Source organism: Homo sapiens, chromosome 20 (assembly GCF_000001405.40).
Source record: "Homo sapiens chromosome 20, GRCh38.p14 Primary Assembly".
Taxonomy (NCBI): Eukaryota; Metazoa; Chordata; class Mammalia; order Primates; family Hominidae; genus Homo; species Homo sapiens.
Genome location: NC_000020.11, coordinates 62,677,716 through 62,701,799, shown reverse-complemented (window position 1 = coordinate 62,701,799; position 24,084 = coordinate 62,677,716). Strand labels below are relative to the sequence as shown.

Sequence of the window (24,084 nt, the reverse complement as noted above, 5' to 3'; positions counted from 1 at the left end):
CTCTTGGGACTCCTACCTGCCCAGCCCACTGGGTGCCTCCGTGCCAGGTGACAGGCAGGGCTGCTACAGCAAGCACGTTCACGAGGAGGGCACTGGATGTCTGGGGGAACTGGCAGAGGTGGGGCAGTTTGGGAAGACTTGTCCAAGGAGGACATGTTCACTGAGTCCTGGAATGTGGTGTGTGAGCAGGAAGGGTGGCAGGCAGGAGGGGGTTGGGCCAGTGTGTGGCCAGAGGCCAGAAGACAGCGGGGTTAGGGACGCGGCTCCCTCCTGGACCTCTGTGCCTGTGACATGGAGTTTTATTCCTGGAGCTGGTGGAAGATGCTGCTCATTCAACCTGCGTCCCGGGTCAGGGCTGGTGGCTCTGGGACCCTGCCTGAGACAGCAGGCATGGGGTGGTGGGGGGAGAGGAAGGAGGGGCACTCGTTGCCACAGCTCTGACTTGACTCCTCGCAGAAGCACAGGCCTGACTCCTGTCCACCCAGCAATCTCGCCGTGCGCCTTTCCAGGCCTGCTGAGGAGAACTGTGTGGAAGGGTGAAGCAGAGAAGGCCTGGAGTCACCTTGGATCGTGAAACCCATCAGCAACTTTAAAGAAATCAGCCAAGAGACACACAAAGAAAGCTGATGTTTTGGAGGAAACAGGGAATGAGGTAGATCATCTTCTGAGGAAAGAAGATCCATTTCCAAGACATGTTTCAATGCAGCCCAGTTTCCTAGAAATTATTCCTGGGAAGGGCTTGCTATGACACGCACCTCAGGCCGATGGACACAGAGCGTGTCCCTTAGAATTTCCTGTGATGTTCCCACCGATTTCTCTGGACCAGAAGGTTTGAAACTGATGAATAGCAGCCCCCAGCCCCCTAAGCCCATTCCCTTTTCTTCTCATTGCCCTCCCTGGCCCCACCTATACCCTCCTCTCTGCCTCCTTCTGCTGGAAGGAGGGTTCCTAATTGCTGGGCCCCCAGCAGAAAGCCATTTTCTTTTTGCAATTTGCTTTTGGGAAAAGACAACATACAGGCAACACACGCAATGCAGAGGGCCAAGCCAGCCCATCTGTTCCATCTGCAAAAAAGAAGTAGCATTTTGTCTGCTCTCACCCAGAAGCTGCGGGCTTATGGCTCTTATGAATGCACCAATTTGTGATGAACTTTCCAGGCGTGCTTGTGAGCATACCAGGCGATGTAAAGCTAAAAGGGTTGCATTTGGCTAATATTAGTCTCCCATTTATTGTCACGAGAGAAGGGACGGGTGGCTCTTGCATTCTCTTGAAGGCTCAGCAGCCCGGCCCCCGAGCCTGGAGGGGATGAGGAGACGCGTGAGGCAGGGTTGGAGTTGGAGCAGGAAGCTGAGGGTCTTGTCATGCCCGCCCTTCCTTCCACGTGGCTCCACCAGGCTGCCCTCTGGGAAAGGTAGGACTGGGCGCCGTGGCGCGGGCATCTCTTCCCTGTCTTCTAGGCTTCTTTCCTCCTTGGGCTAAGGATGGAGTTTGCATAAACATGATTTCTGCGTCTCCAGAGATCCAAAGCGTATGCCTTTATCTGCAGTCAGGAGTCCTCCCTGCTTAGAAATATTGAAATAGGAAAAATGTCTTCCATTTTGTAGTTGCTTCCTGGGAGTTCCAGAAGCAAAACCTTGAAACCGTTCCTCCTTTGTCATTCTTGCCTTGGAGCTGCAAAGGCCCGTTTGAGACGCTTTCTTTAACAACGTGAGGCCATGCCAAGGGGCAAGGAACTCCGGGGGCAAGAGGGGCTGAGGGCAGGTGCCCGGCTCACCGAGGGTGGCCCACTCCCTCCATGATCCTCAGAGAGAGCAGAGGGTCCACAGAGGTGCCAGCATGGGCCTGGCCAGCCTGGGGACCCCAAGCCCAGTCCACACAGCAAGTCTGGGCTCCCGTGAGCCACGGACACAGCCAGGGCCGGTCCACAGCCGCCTGTGGATCCTCCCTCCCTTTCACCCCAAGTCTCAGCTAAGGGCTCCATCTCCCACTTCCCCTGCAGCTAGACATGCCACAGAGTAAGTTCTGGCCGGGGGTGTGGAGAGAGGGCACCCTTGCCGGTCAGGCCGCATCTCCCTGGCTTCCTGGCTTCCCTCTGGCTGGGAGGTGAGGGTGGCGAGAGACGCAAGCTCCCGGGGAGACATCCCAGCAGCAAGAGAGAGGGAGCCTGTCCCGGTCCACTCGGGAGCCTGTCCCGGTCCACTCGGGAGCCTTTCCCGGTCCACTTGGGAGCCTGTCTCCAGTCCACTCGGGAGCCTGTCCCGGTCCACTCGGGAGCCTGTCTCAGTCCACTTGGGAGCCTGTCCCGGTCCACTCGGGGTGCTGACACACAACACCAGAGGCTGGGCGGAGCTCCTGAACAACAGAAATCCCTTCTCACAGCCTGGGAGTTGCAAGGCCAAGATCAAGGGAAGGTTCAGGGTCTGTGGAGGGCCTGCTTCCTGGCTCACGGAGGGCGCTTTCTTGCCGCGTCCTCCTGCGGTGGGAGGGGTGAGGGAGCTCCTTGGGGACTCTTGTGTAAGGGCACTAATCCCATTCATGAGGGCCCCACCTTCACCACCAAATCCCCTCCCAAAGGCCCCACCTCTCACATCTTTGCCTGGGGGGGCTGCGATTCCAGTGCAGGACCTTGGAGGAGCCACAGGCTGCATTTGATTACAGAGCCCTCTCTGGATCTGGACCCCAAGCCTTCCCGGGACTCCTGCCCTCCTGGGACCCCCACCCTCCTGGGCCCATTCCTGGAGTCAAATGGAGCCTGCAGGTTCCTGAGGACACCATTTGAGGCCCTGGCCAGCCCCTGCTGCCCCCTGGACTTCCTGAGGACACCATGTGAGGCCCTGGACAGCACCTGCTGTCCCCTGGACTTCCTGAGGACACCATTTGAGGCCCTGGCCAGCCCTGCTGCCCCCTGGGCTTCCTGAGGACACCATTTGAGGCCCTGGCCAGCCCTGCTGTCCCCTGGACTTCCTGAGGACACCATTTGAGGCCCTGGCCAGCCCCTGCTGCCCCCTGGACTTTCAGTCCCATGGAACCTTTATTCTCTTGAGCTGTTTGACTTGGGTTTTTGCCATGTGCCCCGATGTCCTGGGATAGTCATCTGTGAATTTAGGGGACACCTCCATCATTTATTCACCTCCTAGGGGATGAGGATACCTGGAGGGCAGGCCCTGATACCCTGCTCTCCTGTCAGGGGAAACTGAGTCCAGTGGGCAGAAGACCAGGGCACGGGCATCCGATCCAGGGCCCGACAGAGCAGAGCAGCCAAGCCCAGGAGAGAGGTCAGCCTCTCGGGCAGGCCTCTGAAGGACAGAGTGTGGGGTCTCCCCTCGGGGCCCCTCCGTGGCTGCTCCCCCTCCCCATATAAAGTCACCAGGCGCCTCTCCTCAGGCTGCGGGACCAGGAAGGAGCCCTTCGCTGTACCCAGTGTTGTACCCAGCGCCTTGCCGGTTGGACCCCGTGCTCCCCGAAGGCTGGGCCCAGCTCTCCCTCTCCACTCAATCACCCCCCAACCCCCGCACTTCTAAGTCTTCAGAACCTGCTCTTTCAACCCCCACCAGCTTAGCCTGGTCTCAGAGGACTTCTCTGGGAGAAGAAGCCCAGACCACGGGCCGGGATGCTTAACTGTTGCTCATTTTCTTTTCAGATAATGAATTATGTTGAGCTTGACGTGGATAATTGAATGTAAAACTTTTCTAAAAATAGCATACACAGGTGCTGGGCCCCGAGCACCTCCTCCCACTGTGCTTTCTAGATAGGGAATGAGAGATTGCTCCTCCTTGTTCTAGACACCAGTCCCTGTCCCCAGCTCCCTGATTTTTTCGGGTGTTCTTATTCTCTCTCACCCCCCGACTCCATCGGCAGGTGCTGAGACCACATGAGCTTTTATCCTCTCAGGTGTGTTCTGTGCTGCCTGTAAGACATGTCCCCACCACTGGCCAGGCATTCATCCCGCAGCAGCCCAGCCCCTTTGCCGGGTGAGGAAAGAAGCTATTGGAATAAAGAGCCCATTGTGGTAGGACCAGGGACCAAAAGCCTCCACACCCGGCACTGCAGGCAGCAGGCTTTGCCAGTCACTAGAAGACTATTATCTGTACAGTCCCCAAACATGGTTTATGACTATTTGGCTCATTAAATAGCCTGAATCCCTAGGGGAACAAATCAGACGAGTTCTATTTTTCCTTCAATCACTGCCTTACCCCCTGCAGCTCTGGTGTCCCCAAACCACCCTTAGACTCCGCGATTCTCCAGAAGGCTCACGCAGTGCCACAGACCTGCTGTGCTCACAGTTGACGTTCATTAGAGCGAAGGGGCACCGGCTAGAATCGGTGAAGGGAACTGGCAGAGTCCAGGAGGGTCCAGGCATGGGCTGCTGCTCTCCCCACTGGGCGGCCTGACAGCACTTGCTTCTCCCCGAGCCGATGGCCTGCCTTGGGGTTCAGGGCTTTGCTGGGGCTCAGTCCCACGGGCTCTGCCAAGCGACCACGTGTGGCAGCTTGGTCTCTGATCCCTCCAGAGGTGCAGCTGACACCATGTGGCCCAAAATGCCCACCACAAATCCCATCAATAGCACAGACCATCCAGCCTGGCCCAAGGTCCACAGGTAACCAGGACTGTCTTATCAGGCAGGACAGGCCAGGGCTCAGAGGCCGCCTCCCGTGAGGAGAGAAGTGGCCAGGACTTTCTCAGGGAAAGGAGAACCGTTCGCTGCACCATCGGTCAGTTTCTCTTCCCCTCAGTGACACTTAAGGCAAACCCCAGAAAGGGCAGGTCATGTTTGGACATTAAAGTACACGCAGGCCAGTTAAAAACTTGAGCACCACAACCAATTCCAGAAGCCTCACTGCATAGCTGTGCATAGCACAGCTGCAGTCCACGGCCCCACTCCACACCCCACCCCACACCCCACCCCACACCCCACCCACACCCCACCCCACCCCCCACCCCACCCCCCACCCCACACCCACTCCACACCCCACCCCACACCCCACCCCACACCCCACCCCACACCCCACACCCACTCCGCACTCACTCCACATCCTCACTCTACAGCTGTACCGCACAGCCTCACCGCATGTATTCGTCTGTTTTCACACTGCCACAAACACCTGCCTGAGGCTGGATAATGGGTAAGGAAAAGTGGTTTAATAGACACGGTTCCGCATGACTGGGGGGCCTCAGGTAATTTACAATCGTGGCGGAAGGCGAATGGACGCGAGGACGTGCCTCACAAGGCCGCAGCAAGGAGACGTGCTGAATGAAGGGGGAAGAGTTCCTTATCAAACCACCAGATCTTGTGAGAAAATCATGAGAACAGCATGGGGGTGACCGCCCCCAGGATCCAGTCACCTCCACCTGGTCTCTCACTTGGCACATGGGGATTGTGGGGATTGTAATTCAAGATAAGATTTGGGTGGGGACACAAAACCTAACCATGTCACTCCACAGCCCCACTGCACAGCCCCACTGCACGGGTGCACTCCACAGCCTCGCTGCACAGCCCCACTGCCTGGGCGCACTCCACAGCCCCATTGCATGAGTGCACTCCACAGCCTCACTCCACAGGCACACTGCACGGGTGCACTCCTCAGCCCCACTGCACAGCCCCACTACACAGGCGCACTCTACAGCCTCACCTGCACCATCCATGTAAGAGGCGCTGGAAGCCAGCGCTTCCCCTCAAACGATTGCCGGGTGAGATGCTGCAGCATTGTTAGATGACATGTTCCAATGTGTAGTCTTTTGACAGACAGGCGGGTGGAGGCCTGCCGTAAGCACAGGCCAGTGTGCGTTGCTGCAACGACATGTTGCCAAATGTTGGGAATTACCGTATTTATAAGTGTGCGTGTTGCTCCATTTGCACATTGCCTCATTTGTGTACTTGTGTGTTCCCAAGTGTTCCTGTTGTCCTCTTTGTGTTGCCCCACGTAGACGTTGCTGCATCTGCACGTGGCCCCGTTTGTGTGTGTGTGTGTTGCTGCGTGTGTGTGTCTAGAGAATGCAATGACAACTGAGAGTGGCCATCTCCCTTAGAATTGCTTTCCGAATGCGGACCTCCCAAGCCACCCTCTCCTCGCCCAGCCGCAGGATAGACTGCGGCCCTCCCGCTCTGGACAAGCCTTGATGGGAGTAAATGCTGCCCATCCGGAGCCTCCTGGGGGCCCTGGAGGACGCTGTCCCCGCCTCACAGCTGGTGCAGAGAGGTGGGGGTTTGACCCAGGGATTCAAGGCCCTTCTGACCAGGGCCTTGGGTAGGGAACGTGGCCCCTCCAAGTCTCAGTGCCTGGAATATGGTATGGTGAAGACCATGCTGGCTGCCTTGCCAGGTGGACGAGGGAAGATTAACGAGGCAATAGGGTGGTCTGGTAAACGTGTGTGGGATGGACTTACAAGGTGATAGGCACATGTGTGCCTCTGGGAAAGTGAATCTGCAGCTTAACCAAAAGCTTCCAGAAATTCAGCATGGAAAACGGACATTTTCTATCAAAGGAAACGCCTTGAGAGGCCATGTCCTTATTTCTCTGATTTTGCCGTTGCTCAAGGAGGCCCTGGAATGCCCGCAGCTTCACAGCAGGAAGAGAGCACGGTCCACGTTGCCCACAGGTTCCTGCTCAAATCCAGAGTGAGCCTGCAGGACAGCCAGAAAGCCCACCCAAGGTGCCTCAGCCTGGAGCTCACCCAGGACGCAGAGCAGGTGCAGGTGCAGGTGCAGGTGCAGACGGCAGACGGACGCATCAGGGGCGTGGTGTGAATAACGCCCCGCTTGAGAAGCTCAGGGCTGGATCCTACTGTTGATTTCTGTGGGAATGCCCCGTCCCTCCCGGCCCTGAGGCTTGGTGCCAGCACCACACTTCGCCACTGCATCTGATGCCAGGCAGAGGCGCTTCTCTGCTGTGGAGGACTTGTGATCGAATTGGCCCACCCAGATCATCCAGGATCAGCTTCTGCCATGTTGTGATATAAGAATAAATACGCATTTAAATGGTCTCTGACATAGAGCGACGATAGCCCTTGTAGTTTCTTGACCAATAGGGGTGCTAGGAGAATCTTTTGTTCTGATACTTGGTCTTTGGCCCCAGTTCCTAACAATGAACTCCTATAGCCTTTGCGATTTCCCGAGGAATAGCTGCGTCCACCCAGGGCTTCTCAATCCCTTGGAATTTCTGGGGTGATAGGAGCATTTTTCGAGCTGATGTGGTGGCTCTGGGGGGCTCCTGCACAGCTTCAGGATGGGGGCTGGTGGCCACAGGAACCAACCACATGATTAGAAGGTTCTGCCCCAACCTCTGATCTTCGGGAAAAAAAAAGGGGTTGAAGGTTGAGTTGATCACCGATGGTCAATGACGTAGTCGATCATGCCTGTGTGTTGAAGCCTCCATGAGTCCCAAGAAGGACTCAGTGCAGATGAGCTTTGGGGTTGCAGGACACGTCTGCCTGCCAGGAGGGCGGCCCCCACTGCAGAGGGACAGAGGCTCCTGCACCCGGGGCCTCCCGGACCTCCCCCAGGTATCCACCTGCTGGTCATCTGTGTCTCCTGCAATGTCCTTCATAATAAACCGGTGAGCCTGTGTCCCTACGTCCTGGGTGCTGCTGCAGCAAATCACTCCAGCCTGGGGAGGGGCTCACGGGACCTGGTTTATAGCTGTGTGGACAGAAGCCCCTGAGGCTTGCAGTTGACTTTGGAAGTGGGGGCAGCCCTGTGGGACTCAGCCCTCACTCTATGGGGTCTGACGCCATCTCTAGGTGGACAGTGTCAGAATTGAATTGAAGGACACCAGCTGGCATCTGCTGGAGAACTGCTTGGTGTTGGGAAAAAATCACCACTCTCCGGGTTGGGAGTGCTGTGTTCAGTGCTGTGAGGGTAGGAAGAACAATTTGTTTTTTTCCCATATCTTCTCAGACCTTCCCACCTTGAGGTCTGTACCTTGATCAAACTTGCACTTTACAGGATCAAGGACTGGGGCAGGGACATCTTGAGCCTAGCTCCAGCCAGGACCTTCGGGGACTGTCCTGAGAGCTGCCTTGCTCAACCCAGAGCACAGTGGAGATCAGCCAGGTGCTGCACCCCCGGGGCAGAGCGTGCTGCAGGACCACCCGGTCCCTGGAGGTGGGACAGCTTCTGAGCTGCACCTTGCTCCCTGGGGGCCTGGCTGAGGCGTGGCTGCATCCGGCACTTAACCCTGGGACTTCATCTCGGCCTTGGGGACACTTACCCGAGGGGCTGCTTCTGGGGAACCGGAGCTGAGACGGTGGCTCCTGGGGAGCCTGCCAGGAGGCATTCACTGGCAGAAACACCCCCAGTCCTTCAGGGAACAATGAGATGAGGAGATAGAAGAGCCCACAGATTTTAAGGGACTCTTGGCCAAGGGGGGGCCAGACGCAGACATGTTCCACATATTCAGGCCGATGGGAGGGGTGTCTCGGGCAGCACAGGCTGGCATTCGGCCAGAGTGGGCATAGCAGCGGCTTCCCCTGCGACTGCTGTTGGTGGACTGCGTGGTTTAAGACAACGGGAACTTATTCTCACTGTCACCAGCCACAGGGTATGGAGGAAGCCACCACCTTCTCCAGGGGCTCCACATGCAGCAGGTGTCAGCCCGAGTGGCTCTCGCCCCTGCTCACGGGTGTCCCTGAGGGTACCTTGGGGGTGACTCCTCCAGGACTAGGGACAGTGTGGACCCCCTTTTGGTCACAGTCCTGGGAAGCCTGGGGCGGGGCCTGCGGGATTCCTGTGCCTCCGGCCATGCGCTTCTGCAGGGACCCAAAAACGTTGGCACAGGAGGGCACCGGCTGGTTGGAATCTCTTTTAGCAACCAGCAAGGCTCTGCAATCTGGTTTTTAAAAATATCATTGGAGGGAAAAAAGGAGCATTAAATTAAGGAAAACGTGTTCTGGTAGAAATGAGCAGTTAGAATACAGACCCGCCCTGCAAACCCACAGGACCTGCCGAAATCACACCTTCTCTCTCATGTTCATAAATGACACATGCTCGGCCTGTGCACGCACACATGGGCATGGGGCTGGAGTCTGGTGCATGCCACATGCCTGCATTGCTCTGAATCCTGTTACACGCATTGCCCCTGTTGATACCCACCCTGTTCCTGCCTGCCCGGCCTCCCTCCCTCCCTCTTCCTCTACACACACACACACACACACACACACACACACACACACACACACGAGTCATACATGATATATTAAATATATGCCCATATGTAATGGGTTTGATGGCTAAGAGAGAAGACCTGTTGGCCTGTTATTTTATTTTTCTTTTGAAAAGGGCTGAGGCTGCCGGATATCGCCAAATGAAGAATCTTGCTGTCCACATCCTGAGCAGCCCTCACATCCCAGAGTCTGGCTCTGTAATCCTTTCCAAATGCCACTTCTGTTTCACAAGCATGTCCTCTGGAGGGGAATCTGGTGCCTCTTTGTTGGCCGTCACAGCCGGTCAGGCAGCCCTGCTCTGCAGTGGGCAGCTGGCACCCAGGCATAGGAGGGGCCTTGTGGTGGTTTAGCTTCCCAGACTCACGGGGGCCCCGCCCCAGCCCCGCACCTTCTGCGGGGTCACAGAGAGCCCATCCCTCATGGTCTGGGGGATGGGCTGCCCCCCCCCCAGCAACCAGAGGCCCCATTCCCGAGGCCCCAGGGGTGGGTCTTGGGATGGGGGCATCAGCCAGTGTGGAACCCAGAGCCCTTTCGCTGGGCTTGCTGGGAAGGGCGGCCCCACTCACCGGTTGCCAAGTGGGTTCCTGGTGGCCGTGGGCAGAGCTGGGGATGGAAGAGGCACAGAGGTCTGGGGGTGTTGCTCTAGCCCCTGAGTCCTGCCCTGGGCCCTGCCTTTCCTCAAGCTGGTTTGACTTGGATTTTGTCACCTGCAGCTAGACATCGTGAGCGTGGGCACTGGAACCCAGGTGGCCAGCGGGGCCCTCCAGATGCCCCCCGGGGGTCTCTCGCCAGTGGCTCCTGAGCCTCTTACTCCGCAAGTGAAGGCAGGAAATGGTGGGTCCAGCCCACGGTTTCATTTTCTGTAACCAGTTGGAAAATTCTAACAGCGTCGTGCATGAATAGGTTCTTGTCTTCTCTGGAAATTGCAAGGCTTGATAATAACGACATTAGTTCCTGAGATGCTTCAGTCTGAGAAGAGCCGACTGGAGATAATTTGCTGCTTCCTGTGACAGCTAATGATGAGCTTCATCACAGCAGCATGTCGCTGCCACAGACGGATTTGTCTACACAGCCCAGTCACTTCAGAAAACATGTTTGGGCCGAGGCGGGTGGCTCACGCCTGTAATCCAGCACTTTAGGAGGCCGAGCTGGTGGGATCATGAGGTCAGGAGATCGAGACCATCCTGACTAACACGGTGAAACCCTGTCTCTACTAAAAATACGAAAAATTAGCCGGGCGTGGTGGCGGGCGCCTGTAGTCCCAGCTGCTTGGGAGGTTGAGGTAGGAGAATGGCGTGAACCTGGGAGGCAGCGATTGCAGTGAGCCCAGATTATGCCACTGCACTCCAGCCTGGGCAACAGAGTGAGACTCTGTCTCAAAAAAAAAAAAAAAAAAAAAAAAGAAAACATGTTTGAGGAAATGTAATCCTAGGACCTTAGTATTACTTCTTTTAAAACATTCCGGGGCTGTGGTCCAGCTGGTTTCTACTCTGAATGCTCCTGAACAGCCCTGTATTCGGTTCCTTCCCCGGCCTGGGGTCTGCAGAGGCTGCGCTGAAGTCCTGGGGACTCTGTCATTCCCGGCGGGGTGTACTGGAGACCCCCAGGGGCCATCCCAGAGCTGGGGAGCTTCTCCTTTAACAGAAGCGCCGAGGGCAGCCCCCTGAGACCACTCCTCTCCACTGTCAATCGGCCAACGGATCACTGGGGAATTCTTGACTTTGCCACATAATATTAGAACTATAATTTGGGGAAGACTGTGCGCGGGCAGGTGGGTGAGATGTGGGGGCTGACAGTGGAAGCTGTGACGGCAGGCCCGGGAGGGCGGGTTCATGATCCAACCTCATTCCGTTTACCATGTTCGACATTTCCCACAACCAAGTTAACACAACAAAGTCAATAAAACAAAACAAATGAAAGCGCGTTTATTGAATTGCGGTTCTCTGCCTGGAATAGGATGAACTGTCAGGCCCCGAATTGGAAGCCAGTAGGGTGTTTCCTTTCCATTATTAAAGAATAAATCTCAGAATGCGTCCATGAAAGTATCTCGCTGCAGAGTATGGAAATGTTAATTTCCTTTTGCAGTTTCTCTCCTGGTAAAATGAATGGTAAATCTGAGATAATAGTGAGTAATAGCACAGCCAGGGCTCTGGCCTGCGGCTCGGTGGAGGGCGGGCGTGGAGTGAGAGCATGCAGCTCCCTCCTGTTCTGTGGCTGGGATTCCCGGGGCTCCTGCAGAGCCTTCCTTGGCTGCAGGGTCAGAGCCTATGGTGACCTTGTGCAGGTGACACCCTCTGTTGAGCTCCGTCCTCCCATGGAAAACTGTCAACCCCACTCCCCTGGAGTATCAAAGGACTTGATGAGACGTCGGACACCCAGAGGTTGTCTGTCTCCCTGTGGGCCCCTGAGACAGAGGGGAGACTGGGGTCAGGGGCAGGAGGTTTACTGGGAGGACACACAGGAAGCACCGCTGGAGCAGAGAGGTGGCCGATGCGAGGGAGGGGGCCAGGACCATCGCGGGCACCCGAGGCACCATGCAGCTGGGGAATCCACGGCAGACAGGCCCACTCACCAGGCAAGGGGGCTGGGGTCGTTCACCTGCCGCGCAGGCGCAAAGCAGGCACAGAGGCCAGGGAAGCCCATGTGAACAGGAGTGCAGGCGCTGGCTGCAGGCGTCGACTCAGCCCCTGGGGGTGAGGGTGGGGACGCGGGTCCCCCGCATCTGCTCCACCCCTTTCATGATTATTTCTGCAGGTAGGGGTTCCCTCAGGTCCACCCCCTTCCTCGGCCCCAGACATTCCTGGGTGCCCCGTCCCACACATGGAGTGGGGTGAGGATGATGTGGATCCCCCTGCCAGGAACACAAGGAATCGGGCAGCTTGGCAGGATCCCTACAGCTCTGCCTGAGCCCCCGCAAGTTATTAAGGCATGGCGGTCGCCTTCCGGAGGGTCTGGGGGTCTAAGATGACCAGGGCGTCTTTGGAAAGGGGCGGTCCCCAGGAGGGGCTCAATGCGGGGTGGAGACAGCTGCTCAGGTGAGTGCTGTGCTGGGCACCCGGCTCGCTGGGCCCTGCTGGGGCTGGGGTCCCCTCTGCCACGTCCCCCGTAGGGACCTGCTGCTCATCCAGCCTGGGAGGCCATGGGCCAGCACCTGAGGAGGCTGAGCATCTGTCCGTCTGTCCGTTCGGGCAGCTGGTATCCTCAGTGCCTAGGGTGATGTCTGCGAGCCCTGGCTTCTGCACGAGCACCGGTGTGATGGAGGAAGGACTGATGGAGAGAGGGAGCCACTCTGCCCAAGAGACAGGCCTGCGAGGCACGGGGCACAGCCGGGGACAGGCCTGCGAGGCACGGGGCACAGCCGGGGACAGGCCTGCGAGGAACGGGACACAGCCGGCCAGGGACAGGCCTGCGAGGCACGGGGCACAGCCAGGGACAAGCCTATGAGGCGCGGGGCACAGCCAGGGACAGGCCTACGAGGCGCGGGGCACAGCTGGCCACGTGCAGGCCAGGGAAAAATGGGATGAGGGTTTGGAGATGAGGGCCTGACTTGATTCCTTAGAGACCGTCCATTTATGGGAAAGAATGGGGCGCCTCCGGCCACCTGCTGGCTCCAAGACTAACCACAGGAGGAAATGTCAGAGGAAATTAACTGTGCTCGAGCTTTTGTGATGAGCCTGATTTTCCAGCTTCTAGAAAGCTGTGCTTCCATGCTGAGGCTTGTACTCGTTCGGTTTATTGGGAAGAATTAAAGGGCTTCTCGGAAAATGTTAATGTCTCCTTCCCACCAGCCTGGCCACCCCAGCTTCCCCCAGGCCCTGAAAGTTAGGTCTCCCCTGTGTTTGGTGCTTCTGACATTGCAGAGGGACTCCTTCCTCCTGGCAGCTCTGCCTTCAAGCCCAGAAAGCCATTGCTGGACACAACCCAAGTCAGGGGACCGGGTTTGCTGGAGTGGGTGGCAGGGGGCATGCATCCCCCACCCCAGCCATCTGCTGGCTCTGGAGCCCTGCTCTCACCCAGTTGGTGTCTCCTGGGCCCTGCGTCCATTCCATTTTGCCTTCAAAAGCCTGAGCTGCTGCTCTTACTCACTCAAGAGAGCCTCCAGTGTCCAATGTGAGCCCCAAACCCCGAGAAAATATAGGCAGAATTGTGTTTGCTGTGTGCACACAGACTGAGCTTTTGCTTAAGAACCTGGTGGGGCTACAGGTGAGCGGGGTTGGGGTGAGCAGGGTCAGGGGTGAGTGGGGTCATTGGTGCACGGGCAGGGTTGCACAGGGCTGGGGGGTGCATGGGTAAGTCCTAGCACTGAGTGGTGTAGGGGGCAGCCTCCCTCCCAAAGAGGCCTCGTGGGGGGCCGCGGGCAGGACCTGGGCGAGGTGTTCTCGTAGGGACCCCAGGGATCCTCCTTGCCCTCTGGGATGGGCTATCTCTGCTGCTCAGTGGACGCCCAGCTTCTGCGGCTTGCATATGGGGTGGCGTGTGAGTCAGCCCCTTCTATGTATGTGTGCACGTGTGTGTGTGTGTAGGTCTCTTATGCTGCTGAGAGCCTGGAAGGCAATGAAGTTGGTGGTGCTGGGACCTGGAAAGCAATGAAGCTGGTGGTGCTGGGACCTGGAAAGCAATGAAACTGGTGGTGCTGGGACCTGGAAGGCAATGAAGCTGGTGGGGGTGGGTAAGGCCCGGGGGTGGCTGCAGCGCGGCACTAGTGCCTGGTAGGACATGGCCGGGAGGTGAGTGGGGATCCCCTGGGGTACCTTTTCCTGCACTCCCATGTGCTCAGGGATACCCCTGAGGCTCGGAAGGCAGGTTGGGCCATGGCTGCCCTGGAGGCTGTGCTAGGCTGGCAGCCTAGTGGCCACGCTGACGACATGGGACCCGCGGCCCCAGCAGAGGTACAGGGAAGCCGGTGTCGTCCTTCCGTGTCCAGGAGCGGCCCCCCACAGCCCGTGCACCCCGAGGTGTGGCTTAGGCCCAGCCCTGCCCTTGGGGCGCAGAGTCTGGCTGGAGAGGCCCACCCAGAGCGGGGGATGGCAGGGGCCTCCCAAGGGACCTCCCCCTCTCTGGCTCAGAGGCTCTGCCCCGTGCGCTGCCTCCTGGCGTGGCCCTTGCCGGGCTCATTGTGTGGGTGCCAAGTGCTCCTCAGATGGTTGGTGGAAGGACGTGTCTCTGCATCCCGCCCGGATGACGCACCTGCCCTGCCCTGGACGCCACTGCGTGGTTTCTTCCGCCTCCTTGGCCTGCTGGCTCCTCCCCGGGCCTCGGCTCAGATGGCTCTTCCTCCACATGCCCTTGGCCTTCAGTGTAGACGCCCCAGGGTGGCCACTGTGTCTCCCGTGGCTGTGTGGCGTTTGGTCAACTTCATGGACCTTTGGAACAACGTGGGGCCAGGATTAGGAAGCTGCTGCCACTTGCCTTCAGAGGCCCCCGCTCCTGTTTGGGGGTGCCCTTTCCATCGCTCCTGTTTGGGGGCGCCCTTTCCATCGCTCCTGTTTGGGGGTGCCCCACCCATCGTGCCTGTTTGGGGGTGCCCTTTCCCATTGCTCCTGTTTGGGGGTGCCCTTCCCATCGTGCCTGTTTGGGGGTGCCCTTTCCCATTGCTCCTGTTTGGGGGTGCCCTTCCCATTGTGCCTGTTTGGGGGTGCCCTTCCCATCGTGCCTGTTTGGGGGTGCCGTTCCCATTGTGCCTGTTTGGGGGTGCCCTTTCCCATTGCTCCTGTTTGGGGGTGCCTTTCCCATTGCTCCTGTTTGGGGGTGCCCTTCCCATTGCTCCTGTTTGGGGGTGCCCTACCCATCGTGCCTGTTCGGGGGCACCCTTTTCATCTGCCTGCAATGGGCGCCCTGGCCAGCCACCCCTTCTCTGTGGTGCTGGGCACTCTGATACTCTCTTCCTGTCTCTGCACCGTCCAAACCTGCCCTTGGTAAAATAGCTGATATACTAATTCAGACTAAAGGGCCAACCATGGCTAAGACTTAGTGTACTCTCCTTTTCTTTTCACCTTATAATAAAATATTTTTAAAAGAAAGAAAACAAAACCAAGATCTGACTCTGGAATGGTGTTCAGCTGGCAGGGAAGGTGTCTGGGGTCAGAGGGCCCTCGGGGGCTCAGAAACAGCAGGAGGGCCTGCTCTTTAGGCAGCTGCCGGCCCCTCCCCTCTTCCCCGCTCCTGGCGCCAGTGTCTTCTCACTCTGTCCCCGGCCCTTGGTGGAGCGGAGTTGCATTCATCCTGAAGCTTTAGGACATGACACTCAGTCACAACTGTGACATGAGAAGAACTGCGAGCTCCACGCCGCTCTGCGGTTGACTGTTGTCCTCAGTAAACAGGGAAGTGCCTGTCACTTCTCAGCTGGGGGGAGGAAGGCTCGTTTCCACCCGGTGCTTGGAGATAATGTCCTTATGAATAGCTATTTAGACACCACCTGCCATCCTGTACCAGGAGCTCCGCACTGGGGCGGGAGCTACACGGAGACACTCAGCTCATTATTCTGAGCCGTCTCCATGGGCGGCTGCACTCCCCAGGTACAGAGATTGCCCTGCCCAGATGGGAAGTGGCCGCGATAAACAGGAATGGACGCAGGGGCTCTCGGAGTCCAGAAGCCCCCCAGTCCCCGGAGGGTACCTTCCCCACACTGTCTTGCTAATTCAGCGGCTCTCATCATGGTATGTTCTGTCATCAGAGATGGGAGTGGCCAGGGAGGACTTGCTCAGCCATGGATCCACACCGAGGCTGTGGGGGCGCCTGGCTACCTGTTTACCAGCCCTGTGTCTACAGCTTGGAGGAGGACGGAGGGCTTCCTGGAGGAAGAAGCCGGGAAGCAGCTCTGCAGGTTTCACACCCCTTGCAAGGGCAGAATTCTTAGGAGGGCAGAACCCTTTATTTCCTTAGAACGGGCGCATCTGCACACTTATTATAAGATCTTAATTCTATATGAGTGTGCCATGCTGGGTTTCCCAGGTAGAGAATCCACCCCCTCCACTTCCGTTGTTTCGTCCACCTCTTTCGTGCCCTGGGCATCGGAAGCAAATGCATTCTCTCCCAGGAGAACACAGGCAGTCCACCCTCTAGAGAAAGCCTGCTCTGGAAGACGTTGTCAGAAAGCCGAGACTCCACATCCATCACGGCCTTGGTGAAAATCCAATTCAAGGAGATCTATGTGTAAGGCTCAGATGGGGTTTACAGCCTTCTAAATTCATTCTCTTCTTCCTTAAGAAAAAAACAACAAACAAAGCAAGAAAACAGCCCGCTTGGTCAGGCCACAGCAGAGTGGAAGGGAGCGGGTGCAGTTGCCCCACGAACCCACCCTTGGGCACCGACCAGCTGGGGAAGGTGTCGGGGGGCAGCCAGGGCAGCCAGGGCCCAGCCCCGACCCAGCCCCCACTCCCCACCACCCCCCTCCTCCTGCCCCCACACCCCGCTGCCACCCTCCCCTGCCCGCCTGCTTCACTGCACCCAAGGCCTGCCCGTGCCTCCCCACCACCCCCCTCCTCGGCAGCTGAGTGCCCTGCTCTGACCATGTGTGTTTTATGACCCTGGCTGGTCACACGTGCCCCAACCTCCATGCACTCCATGCACTGTGGCCTCACCCCAGACCCTTGGCCCCTGCTAATCCGCCCCATTACTGGTCTCTCTGAGGTGCTGCAGGAGCCCCTGGCGTGGCTGCCTGTGCATGCTTTGGCCGGGCCTTTCTGGGGAAAGTGGAGAGTAGACAGTGCTGCCATTCTCGCAGCTCTCGTTGCCCAGCTGGTGTGGTCGGGTCGTTGCTGCAGACTAAACTCACCACGGCCATGGGGTGGGAGGTGGAGCACGGGCTAATGAGGTCTTAATGAGCGACTTCCAGGTGTGGGGATTGCTGGGGTGGGGGCTGCCCTGATGAGTTATGGGGACCCCTGATCGCCCTGGCGGGAATGAGTGTGTCCAGGGCAGTGGGGGGGTTTGCTTGCACACTCAGGAAACTTGAGGGAGGGAGTGGGGGGATGAATGAGCTCGTGTCAGTGGCCTAAACTTAAATGACAGCCCAGTCCCTGGGATGCCAGGGAAAGACCCTCCCTAGGGACTGAACTGGTGCCAGGGTGGCCGGCCCTGTGCTGACAAGCAGTCTCCCCTGTGATTGTGGTGGGGGCATTGGACAAATCTAACCCCAGTGGATAGATGTTCTGGGGAGACCGGAGGCTCCCAGAAGAGGCAGCGTAGCCTGGTGGGGGTTGGCTGATGAGCTCTGAGGCCATCACGGGCCAATCAGCTCCTTGTGCCTCGGTTTCCTCACCTGTCAGGCAAAGGTGCTGATGGTTTTAGTGATTTAACAAACACATGTACTGCACTTCCTATAATCCAGGCACCCCAGCTCATCACCCCAGTGAAACTGAGACTGTGGTATCAGCCCCATTTCAGAGGGGAGAAACTGAGGCACAGAAAGGTTAAGTAGAACACCCAGGACCCCTGGGGCTGCCACATGCCCCTGGACCTCCCACTGCTGTTGGGGGATGAGTGTGTGTGGGAAGCGCGTGGTCACGTGAGATCTTTGCGTGAGCGTGTGTGGGAAGCGCGTGGTCACGTGAGATCGTTGCGTGAGCGTGTGTGGGAAGCGCGTGGTCACGTGAGATCGTTGCGTGAGCGTGTGTGGGAAGCGCGTGGTCACGTGAGATCGTTGCGTGAGCGTGTGTGGGAAGCGCGTGGTCACGTGAGATCGTTGCGTGAGCGTGTGTGGGAAGCGCGTGGTCACGTGAGATCGTTGCGTGAGCGTGTGTGGGAAGCGCGTGGTCACGTGAGATCTTTGCATGTGTGGGGAGCGTGTGGTCACGTGATCTTGCATCCGGTGCAGCGTTGCATCACTTACTGATGGAGAGAGTTTTGAGAAAGTCGGTGTTTGGTTGCGAACACCGCAGAGTGCACTCACACAAACCCAGACGGTGTCGCCCACGACACTCCGAGGCCACATGGTGTCGCCCGTTGCTCCAAGGCTACAAACCCACACTGTGTGTTGCCGTGCTGAATACAAGAGGCAACTGTAACGCAACAGTGAGCATTTGTGTCTCTAAACACACCTGAACCTAGAAAAGGTGCACCAACAATAGGTCTCATATTGTACGGGACCCTGTGGTATTACAGGTTCATCACTGGCCTGAACATTGTTCCAGGGTACGTGACTGTATTCTTGCAGTCCTCACTGTCGCCGTCAACCTCAACATCAACTATTCCCGCAGCTTCCGTCCCGCCAAGCGCCCATGGAGCTGCCCCTGGAGCAGGTGCCCCCACCGAGAGTGATGGAAAAGCCCGTCCTCGCCACCTCCAGGCATGGCCAGCAGCGAGCGGCTGGCTCTGCAGGAGAAGTGCTGGGTCTGAGCTCCGTCACGGCCGCTCCCGAGAGCCCGAGGTCCAAGCCCAACACGACTTGGAATAAATGATCAAGTTATGAATTAAACACAAGAGAAATGTAATTACCACAGGAGCCAGCTGAGAATAAAATGGATTACGCACATCACAGTCATTAAACGGTGATCACATGCGCCTTTCTAATGTGCTGCCGATTAAAATCAATCTAAGTGCAAATTATGGTTCTGAGTAATCGCTCCCTATGGTTCATCTTTTGTGTTCCCCAAAGAGCTGACACTGAGAGGAAGCACCAGGGCGCCCTCACAGCCTGCGCAGCTTCAGGGTCCATCCGCGGCCTCGAGCCTCCAGCTCAGCACAGAAAGAGACCACTGTGTGGCCCTGGACTGGCGAGGATGCTGGCCGTCCTCATGCTGTGTCCAGCTGTGTCCCCAGAGCTCTGCACAGGTGCAGCGGTTAACCCTCGCCATGCCCTATGATGGGGGTCCCTGTATGGGCCCCATTCACAGATGGGGACACTAAGTCGGGGGTGACATGATCCACACAAGTTCAGACGACTTGGAAGTGGCACAGCCAGGATTCGACCCCCACTTCAGGATGGGCTAGGAGCCCCCATTCACCGGGACACTGCATGACAACTGTGTGTGTGTGTGTGTGTGTGTGTGTGGTCACATGGTCACATGCACACACATGCTGCTATCTGATGGGATGATGCCTGGACTTTGGCAGGTGCCCCAGATTTCTGCAGACTCATGGAATGTCCCACTATCCCCCTGAGTGGAGAGCCTCAGTCCCCTCCGTGGTCTCCATGCTCATCTGTCCCCTCAGCGGTCACCACGCTCATCTGTCCCCTCTGTGGTCTCCACACTCATGTGTCCAAATGCATGGGCATTTGGGGAAAGTGCCATCTGCCATAGTCGACTCTGTGGCCCCGGCAATTCACAATTCTCCCTCATGCAAAATAAATTCACCTTCTGCCCTGGCTCCCCTATGGTCTCTTTCCATGGTGACATCAAACTCTGACTCAAGCCCAGAGTCTTGTCCCGCAAGCCAGGTCCAGGTGTGGACAAGGTGCTGCAGGCGTACGGCTCCCAGGTGCACCCCCTTCTCCATCTGAAGAGCTGTGAACTGAAGAGTTATCTGCCCCTGACAAGCTAACACCAGTAGTGGGACAGACAGACCACACCGTCGGCTCCCCTTTCAAAGAGCAGGGAGGGAGAGGCACGCAGCAGTCTCCCGGGCATGCGGTCCTGAAATCTGGGTGAGTGAAGTTACGGGGCCCGGCTGAGGGCTCAGTCCTAGCTCAGGGGATGGCTCTCCAGGGCCGCCCTGCTGTCTGAGCTCTCAGTTCCATCCTCTGGGTCAACCTCCCTTTTCCATAAAATTAGTTCATCCTTGTAGCTGAAAAGTTTTTGCAAACTACCAAACTCACCCAAGAAGCAACAGATAAAGTGAATAGTCCTGTATTTATTAAAGAAACGGATTTTTTTTTCAGTGAGACCTTCTGAAAAAGAAATCTCCGGGCCTAGATGTCTTCACTGGTGAATTCTAAGTAACATCAATTTATGCAATCTCTTCTAACAAATATACAAAGGGATGGGGGCACTGCAACTACCACACAACCTGGTGATTTTACCCAGAGAGATAAGCTCTTGTTCACACAAAGCCCGTACATGGATATTCGAGCACAGTCAATACAAGAACCTGCACAGAAGATAAAACATCACACGGATTAACACACACACACACGAGTGTGTACACACGGTTTAATACACACACGAGTGTGTACACACGGCTTAATAAACACGCGCACACATGAGTGTGTACACACAGCTTAACACACACACGAGTGTGTACACACGGCTTAATACACACACACGAGTGTGTACACAAGGCTTAATAAACACGCACACAAGTGACACGGCTTAATACACACGCACACGAGTGAGTATAAGCAGAACCACGGAATCAGAATAAGGTTGATGGGCTGGCTGTTTGTGATATCAAAGTACAGTTTTGTAGAATGTTACCATTGGGGGAGACTGGGCAAAGTGTGCAAGGGATCTCTTTGTATTGTTTATTTCTTACAGGTGCATAGAAGTCTAACATTATTTCAACTTAAAGAAAAGAAGGCCAGGAAGGGTGGCTCATGCCTGTAATCCCAGCACTTTGGGAGGCCAAGGGATCAGTTGAGCCCAGGAGTTACAGACCAGCCTGGGCAACAAAATTTACACAAATTATCTGGGCGTGGTGACTTGTGCCTATAGTCCCAGCTACTCAGGATGCTGAAATGGGAGGATCAGCTGAGCCCTGAGCCTGGGGAGGTTGAGCCTACAGTGAGGCGTGTTCATGCCACCGTGATCCAGCCCAGGTGACAGAGTGAGACCCTGTCTGGAAAAACACAAAGAGGATGAGACATTTCCCAAGTTATTTTATGAAGCCAGCATTACCCATATACCAGAACCAGATAAAGACAGTACAAGAAAATAAAACTAGAGACCAATATCTTTCATGAACGTAGACACAAAAACCCTTAACTCAACACCAGCAAATTGAATCCAGCAACATTTGAAAGCATAGCCCATGATCAAGTGTATCCCAGGGGGTGGGGGGCAGGCTTAACATTCTGAAAGCGACCAGCGCAATCTACCACATCAACACTGAAGATCTACTGTGGGATTGTGTCAACAGACTCAGAAACGGCCATCAAAGCTCAACACCCATTTATGGTTAAAAAAAAAAAAAAACCATCAGCAAACTAGAAATAGAAGGGGAACCTCTTTAACAGATAAAGGGCTTCTATTAAAAAAATACATGCAGCTAACGTCACACTTCACATTGAGAGGCATTGAGAGGTGGACTGTTTTCTCCTAAGGCGAGGAACAGGTAAAGGATGCCTTCTCTCACCGTTCCCATTTGACATTGTACTGGAGGTTCCAGCCAGTGCAATAAGGCAAGAAAAAGAAATGAAAGGAATATAGGTCGGAGAGGAAGAAGAAATTAAAACTCTCCCTCTTCACAGATGACATGGCTGTTTATGTAGAAATCCCATGGCATCTGCACAAAAGTGGGCCTAGCAGGTTTCATGACACAGGGTCAGCACACGGGACTCAACCGTCATCTCTATACACCAGCAGAGGGCACTGGGAAATGAAATTTCAAATACAGCAGCAGTTTCTACGAACGTTGAACTCGATCATTATAAAAACACTGTGGGTCCTATGGCTCTTCCTTGGGTTCACCCCATCAGCCCAAATCTCGATCTAGAAATCTTGTCAAGACGAGCTCTCCTCTCCTGGGGGATTCCTGGGGGTAGCCCTGGAACAACTCCCCAAAGATTCTTAGAAACTCTCTGTTTCGTGTAGAGGGTCTTTAAGGTATACCCTCAAGATCCACTGCAGACCTTTCCTTTATTCGAGAGAGTCTATGAATAATCACCTGAAACTTTTCTGACGTTTTAACAGAGGAGTTTTGAGCCACATCCTTGACTCCCTCCTTAGACTCTCTGCTGCTGCTGTGGCCTGGGCCTGACGTCCTTTCATTAATTTAAGAATCCTTTACCACCTGGAGAATCTTGGAATGAGAAACAGTGTTTTTGATTTTATTTTTTAAGCTATTGTGCAGTAAAACTGGCTTGTAAAAAGTGATTCCATAAACCAGGCATGGTGGCTCACATCTGTAATCCCAGCACTTTGGGAGGCCAATGCAGGAGGATCGCTTGAACTCAGGAGTTCGAAACGAGCCTGGGCAACATAGCAAGACACCCTATCTACAAAAAATACAAAAATTAGCTGGGCGTGGTGGTTATGTGCCTGTACTTCCAGCTACCTGGGAGGCTGAGGTGGGAGGATCACTTGAGACCAGGAGGTCAAGGCTGCAGTCAGCCATGATTGTACCACTGCACTCCAAGCTGGGTGGCTGAGGGAGAATGTGTATCAGAAAAAAAAAAAAGGAATTTGATGAGTTTTGACACATGTATGGATTTGTGGAACCACGTCCACCGTCAGGACACAGATAGCTTCATGACCCAGAACCACGTCCACCATCAGGACACAGATAGCTTCGTGACCCAGAGCAGCTCTGCCATGCTACTTTTTTGTTGTTTGTTTGTCTGAGACAGAGTCTTGCTCTGTCGCCCAGGCTGGAGTGCAGTGGTGTGATTTCGGCTTGCTGCAGCCTTTGCCTCCCAGCTTCAAGCGATTCTCCTGCCTCAGCCTCTGCAGTAGCTGGGATTACAGGCATGCTAATTTTTGTATTTTCAGTAGAGATGGGGTTTCATCATGTTGGCCAGGCTGGTCTCGAACTCCTGACCTCAAGTGATCTGCCTGCCTCGGCCTCCCAAAGTGCTGGCATTATAGGCGCGAGCCACCTTGCCCAGCCCCATGCTACTTTTAAAAGCCACAGTTTCCTCTCCACCCCAGCCCCTGGCAACGGCTTGTCTCCTCTCCATCCCTGCAGCTTTGCCTTTTGGAAGCTGTTGTGTAAGTGAAACCACACACTACTAACCTCTGGGGTCTGGTTCTTTTGCTCAGCGTGGTGCCTCCCAGGTTCGTCCCTGTTGCATATTAACAGTGCCCCCCTCTCACGGCTGAGTCTATCGTGTGGCTGTACGACTATTTATCCTTTCACTTCCTAGAGGACATTTGGGTGGTTTCCAATTTTGTTGATGATTGTGAAAATTCGCTTGAACCCGGGAGTAAGAGGCTGCAGTGAGCTGAGATTGCACCACTGCACTCTAGCCTGGGTGACAGAGCAACACCCGGTCTCAAAAAAAAAAAAAAAAAGAATAGCGCTGTAAGAAACATTTGTGTACAAGATTTTGTGTGAACATAATTTTGCCTTTCTCTAGGAGTGGAATTTCTGTGTTATAAGAAGGTTCAGGTCTAACTTTATAGTAAACTGTCGAGCTGGGTTCCCGAGCGGCCGTATTGCTCTCCACGTCTACCGGCGACGGGTGAGTGTTCCAGCCACCAGAGTCCTCATCAGCACTTGGCATTGTCAACAGCTTTCTTTTAAATTCTGTTAAGTCCTGACTTCTTTAATTTTATCTAAATTTTGCTTGAAAACTGAAGTTAAACAAAACCCTCTCTTCTCCTTCTTATGCACAGCTGCAATAAAGCCTGCTGGCGTTTCTGCCTGGAGTCGCCGCTCGCCCAGGGCATCTGCACGTTTTCTGCCTCTGTGTCCCTGCAGGCCACAGCGCTGCATAACCTACTGTTCCTGTCTTCTGAGGTTTTCCCTTCCTCCAGCTTCCATCAACCTTTGCCTCACTTTCTTTCAAGCCTTTACTGACAGCAGAGGCCCTCAGGCTGAAAACAGCATCCTTACTTCTTTCCTTCCCAAATCTGCAGGTGTGGCTAGGTGGGAAGGGCTGATTCCCTCCCCTAAGGGGAAGTGGGGACAGAGAGCCCAGCTGGGGACTGGAGCACCCAAGACGGCACCCCCATCACGGCGGACTCGGCCTGGCTGACAGCTGGTGCCAGAGCGGGGGCTCCCATGACCTGGGCTTGCTCACAGCGTGGCGCTGGGTTCCCAAGTTGAGCGTTCCCAGAAGGCACTGCCAGTAGAAGCTGTGTCACCTCTGCCACGAGGCACTCCCAA

General features: G+C 55.8%; 1 protein-coding gene across 2 annotated transcripts in view, besides 2 other annotated features; it reads right to left on the bottom strand.

The window, feature by feature from the left end:
• Window positions 1–11,059: 11,059 nt before the first annotated feature.
• Window positions 11,060–24,084, bottom strand: part of SLCO4A1 (solute carrier organic anion transporter family member 4A1) — a 48,238-nt gene continuing 35,213 nt past the window's right edge. Inside the window, exons 12-13 of one of the 2 annotated variants that reach the window (XR_001754251.3) lie at window positions 16,151–16,359; window positions 11,060–14,522 (exon numbers count right to left, since the gene is read on the bottom strand). Coding sequence is in view for 1 of the 2 variants with exons in the window: in XM_005260203.4 (XP_005260260.1) it covers window positions 16,330–16,359 (30 nt within the window). In the remaining variant the exon portion in view is untranslated. Of the gene's footprint in view, window positions 16,360–24,084 lie in introns of both variants that reach the window. The other variant, XM_005260203.4, reaches the window with a different exon arrangement.
• Window positions 17,219–17,761: an enhancer, noted in NCBI's record as "H3K27ac-H3K4me1 hESC enhancer chr20:61315391-61315933 (GRCh37/hg19 assembly coordinates)". NCBI's record gives its function as "activates a minimal SCP1, AML or CMV promoter by ChIP-STARR-seq in primed H9 embryonic stem cells {active_cell/tissue: H9 hESC(primed)}" and the evidence as "EXISTENCE:reporter gene assay evidence [ECO:0000049][PMID:30033119]".
• Window positions 17,762–18,305: an enhancer, noted in NCBI's record as "H3K27ac-H3K4me1 hESC enhancer chr20:61314847-61315390 (GRCh37/hg19 assembly coordinates)". NCBI's record gives its function as "activates a minimal SCP1, AML or CMV promoter by ChIP-STARR-seq in naive H9 embryonic stem cells {active_cell/tissue: H9 hESC(naive)}" and the evidence as "EXISTENCE:reporter gene assay evidence [ECO:0000049][PMID:30033119]".